The 5,111-nt window shown below is 40.8% G+C and overlaps 1 long non-coding RNA gene across 1 annotated transcript; it reads right to left on the bottom strand.

The window, feature by feature from the left end:
• Positions 1–1,712: 1,712 nt before the first annotated feature.
• Positions 1,713–4,616, bottom strand: LINC02041 (long intergenic non-protein coding RNA 2041). Its single transcript, NR_146716.2, has 4 exons — positions 4,541–4,616; positions 3,905–4,054; positions 2,772–2,812; positions 1,713–2,411 (listed from the first exon to the last, which is right to left on the bottom strand). It is a non-coding gene; the product is annotated as a long intergenic non-protein coding RNA 2041 (long non-coding RNA).
• Between the last annotated feature and the right edge of the window lie 495 nt (positions 4,617–5,111).

Raw genomic sequence — 5,111 nt, 5'->3', positions numbered from 1 at the left:
ATATTAACAACAATAATCACATAAGAACATTACACACCAATCTCAGGATGGCGGTTACTTATTAGGATGGCCACTTCAGGGTTTGGAATTCTGCTGGAGTTTAATGGTATATTAAGAGGGGGATGGGGGAGTAAATATGACCGAAAGTTAACATTTTATACTAACGAGGTACAAGTTTTATTATGGGAGTCAAATAGTTTGATATATTATTCACTCTATTTTAAAACCACATGATAACTAAATGAAAAGAAGCAAATAGCACAAGATTAGGAATTAAAATGTCTGGATCGGGTTCAGGCTCTGACCTTAACCTGCTGTCTGACCTTGGACATCACTAACCTGTTTTGTATCTCACTGTCCTCTATTGTAGAATTAATGTCCTAGGGTAGATAATCTTTTAGTCACAACTCTGGAGTTTGATGACTCTCCAGTCATCTCTCCATTTTGATTTGCTCCCTGAACCACAGAGCTGAAAGGAAATACAAAACCCCTTATTTTATAGAGGTTTAGATTAGATGATCCCTGTATTTCCTCTGAGCTGAAAACTGAAGCGCAGTTTTCCTTTCAGCAGAAAACTGAAGTCCAGAAAGGAGGCATGTTTTTGGCAACGTCACACGGAGTTCAAGTGAACAAAGAACTGTTATCCTAAGCTACAGTTCAGGCTGTTTCTTCATGCTCTGAGGCTTTATCTGTCTCTCAGTGGTGGTCTGAGGACAAAGGAGACAATGTCCACAGTAGGGAAGGCACCAGAATAGATAAGGACAACCTATTAGCACTGGGTTAAATGAGACCCAATATTATCCTTTATTAAGTCAAGCTGAGAAGTTGAATGCAGGGGGCGTTTTATATGTCAGCACTGTACCAATTATGAATGGACTGATTAATAAATAAACAAACAAATACTAGGAAATCAGGCCTGTTTTAGTGCTTCAAATTCACGGTAACACCCTGTTAACATGAACTTCAAGCATTAACACTAATAACCACGCTAATCACAGCATTGAAAACTCCAAATTAATTCAAATGCTGCTCAATAGACCATCACTGCGTCATCACTGCCTGAGACTTTTCTATCTGTTCAGATCTCTATGCAGTAATTAAATCCATTAACATGTAAAACTGGCTATTATTCTCAAGGGGAAAAATGAAAAAGGGAGCTGAATAACAAAAATCCTGGTGATGGAACTGCAACTTCTCACAACTTCAATTACATCCAAATTCTTGGCCTTTTCTTTCTAAAATAGCAGCTCTCCTGCTCCCGGCTTTGCATCCAGACCCAAAGCATTTCACACACACAGAAATATGACATAACTTAATGAAGGGGATGAGCATAGATCTTAGAAACAGGAAACTTATACTGAGATCATGACTCTGCCTCATGTATATATGTAAGACCTCAGTTTTATACAGCACATTCTTTCTCTGGCCTTCATCGTCCCCATTTGTGAAATGGGAATGTCAAGTGCTCTCCCAGGCTGATTGTAGGAATCAAATGAGATGATCGAAGTGAAGGTGCTTGGCGAATACTAAATGACTTTACAAAATGAGCTGTTATTCTTCATGATGTTCAGAAGCTCACAGGAGATTACATTTATTCTGGGTGAGGTGTGGGAACAGTGTAGAATGAGAAAATAAGATGTAAGTATTGTGCACCCTAAGACCTACTGAAGAATACCTTTTAAAAGAAGATATACTCATGACTCTCCTATAGATACAAAATAAATACATGCCAAAGGCTTTATTTAACTCATTAATTAATGAGGGAATTGGTAGATATTACAATGAATTCAAAAGCAAATTGGGAGTGTCACACATTTTTAGTCAAATATGGAATGCTGAAATGAATTTACAAAAGGATACAAAGGTGGTCACTATCTGCTGGAAAAAAAATCAGTTTCATTCCATTAGATCCAATTTGCATTTCCATGGATAATAATTATTTGTATTCCTATCAGTTTTCTATAACTTCATTTCTATCGTATGGGGTTGTAAAATAACCTAGTCAAAGATACGGAGAGAGCTGGGCACAGTGATGTCCTCCTGTAGCCCCAGCTACTCAGGAGGCTAAAGCAGGAAAACTGCTTGAGCCCAGGAGTTCAAGACCAGCCCAGGCAAAAGAGCAAGACTGCCATCTTAAAAGACAAAACACAAGTCAAAGAGAGGCAGAGATAACCTAGGTAGCTGAATGAATCAGGACAGCCGTCAAGTGTCAACATTTTTCACAAATATCCCTTACAGACCCTTTATTGTAAAAATCCAAGATCTAGCCAAAACAGCTTTCTGAATTCTGGCTTCATTACTTGGCTGGGCTCCAGGATATTTACTCAACTATCCTGGTTTTCCAACTAATTTGCTGTGTGGGATAACTTTAGGCAAGTCCTCTTCTCCCAGCCAGGTCTCAGATTCCTTGTCTGAAAAATGAATGCATCAGATCAGTTGATCATTGGCCTTACATGACAAAGCAATGAGAGAGTAGACTGAAAATGCTTTATACAATTGAGTTAGTTAATCTCTCCATGAGGAAATATTTATGTTAGTATTATTTGACCAACTTGAACAGAGAAAGAAACATCATATGGCTCCCCAGTTGTTTTACCTCTTAAATACATTTGTTTAGAAAGACAAACAAAATAAGAATTGTCAGGGAGAGACCATGGAGAGTACTTCTGCATGCTAACGCATAATGTTAATTAATTTTATGTGTCACCTTAGAGGGTGTTGTTGGATGAGACTAACACTTAAATTGATCAATTTTGAGTAAAGCAGATTACCTTTCAGAATGCTGGTGGGCCTCATCCAATCAGTAGATGGCCTGAATGGAAGAAAAACATCAGCCTCACAAGCTAGATAGAATTCTCCAGCAGACTGCCCTCCCAGTGAAAGTCTGGGAACCCTGATTTGTGGGAGGGAGAAAGGCCTGGTTAGTGGCCCCAGTGGCCACAAAGGGCATTCCATGCAGCCTATCAAGGGACCTCAGCTCTAGTTCAGAACCACCACTTCCTACCTGGGCAGGAGTCACATCAACAGACATTCTTGGCTTTCCTGACAAGTGAGCTATGAGGAAGTGTCAGAGAACTTGAGCACTGAATGGAAAGGATGGAGAAAGGATCATGCCCAATCATAAAGCTCCTGAAAGAAGAAACGACCTCCTAAGATAAGGCTTAGTGCCCACTCTTGCTGAGACTCAGAATAAAGATACAGTAGTATCATAGAAAATTCTGTAATATCACTTACTGAGTCCTGCTGATGTGCCAGGAGCTGTGCTAGGTACACTTTACATAAACTGACACACATGATCATCTCTGTGTGATCTGTGTGCTGTGTTTCAACTGTGCTGAAAGCTAGAAGCATCATTCTCATTCAACAGATGAGGAAACTAAGCTCAGTGTAAGAAAATAATTTCCCCTAAATCACCAAGCTCTAGGAAAAGATGTCCCAAGGAAAGAGTATGCCTGAAGACCAAGGGCCATCAAGGCAGAGACTAAGGACACCAGTGAACACCCACAACATGAGCTCGGGCAAAGAGGGAGGGTGGCAAGAGATTAGGAGATGTTCAGGCAGGCAGGCTTGGATGGGGGCCAGCATGTCTACCTGTCCCTCCAAAAAACTCGCTGCCGTTCATTATAAATCAGTGGTCACCAGCAACATGTCACCTCCTCCTAATTAAACCTTATCGTCAGCCAAGGAAGAAGTTATGGTTGGTTAGATAAAGCACTTGTGGGCCCAGCCAGCTAAGAGCAGAGCAGTTTACCAGTTACTGATGGGCTTTAATTTGATAACAATTACATCACTTTTCAGAGAGACTAGGGAGCCACTGATGCAACCTCACATTTCTTGAGGGAGCTCATTGGAGATGCTAAGTGAGGCATGTGATAGGAAATGGATTACAAGAAAGAAGAGTTACCTGAAATATTGACTGTCTTGAAAAACAGTGCAGGTCTGAGTATGAGGTGAGTGAGTTAGAAACTTCCAGCTCTGCCACCTTGAAGCCGTCCATTCTTGAGCAAGCAGCTTACTTTTCTGAGCTTCTGAAAACGGAGATGTTACCATAGGCCTGTGGTGACCACCAAATGAATGTGCAAATGTGAATGGGTTTTTATATATTAAAGTACAGGTCAGCAAACTTTTCCTGCAAAGGTCCAGATGTAAGCAATGTAGGCTTTGTGGGTTAAACAGTCCCTACTGCAACTACTCAACACTGCTGTTGTAGTGTCAAAGCAGCCATAAACAATATACGACACATGGTGCAGGACAGTTCTCCAGGTGGCCTTGAACCAACCCAGCTCTCTCCCCTTCTCACTGTTGTTCCCTGGAATAACTGTAAAATATGCTGAGAATGCAACATCCTGAGACAAGGAGAGACTGGCTGGAACAGGCTGGCTCAGTTCCAGTTTCCACCTGGAAACGGGATGTTCTTCAACACATTTGCCTAGTGTGTCCTTTCATACCCTGGGGAGGGTGTAACACCCAGGGTTGTCTGCTTTTCAGGGTCCCTCAGTAGCAATGCAAGTGGGGCACATGCAGATGAGACCTCATTTACCTGGCAGTTTTTCTGAGTTTGGGGGGAGAAGCTCACAATCAATCCTACACTTCTGTTATCCCTTGCTGTTTATCTGTAAATAATAAATTTGTTTCATGTAATTTGTTATGTTTAAGGATCTTCTGCCTTACCAGACTCAGACAAGTTGGTAACCAGTGCACAGTGAACCTGCTTCACAAATGAGTGTGGCTACGTTCCAATAAAACTTTATTTGTAGATGCCAAAATTTAAATTTTAGGTAATTTTTACACTTCATGAAACATTTTTCTTCTTTTGATCTTTTTTTGACTATTTAAAATACAAAAACATTCTTAGCTTTAGACCATACAAAAAGAAAGTGGGCCAGATTTGGCCACTGGGCCAATTTCTGCCCCAAAGTGGTATGTAAATGTGGAAAACACAATAGAGAAGGGAGTTGTGCAAAGAGATAAATAAGACTACATCTTTCTTATTGAAAAAGCCACTAGTTGCTAAGCATTGTGGTGCTAACATGAAGGAATGAGAAGTCTGGGAAAAGACAGGCCAGTGTAGTCTGCAGCTACTGAGGAAGGGATTCCCAGAAGGTGGGGAA

Source organism: Homo sapiens, chromosome 3, assembly GCF_000001405.40.
Source record: "Homo sapiens chromosome 3, GRCh38.p14 Primary Assembly".
NCBI lineage: Eukaryota > Metazoa > Chordata > Mammalia > Primates > Hominidae > Homo > Homo sapiens.
Note: the sequence above shows the minus strand (reverse complement) of the source record. Positions and strands in the feature narration are given on the sequence as shown.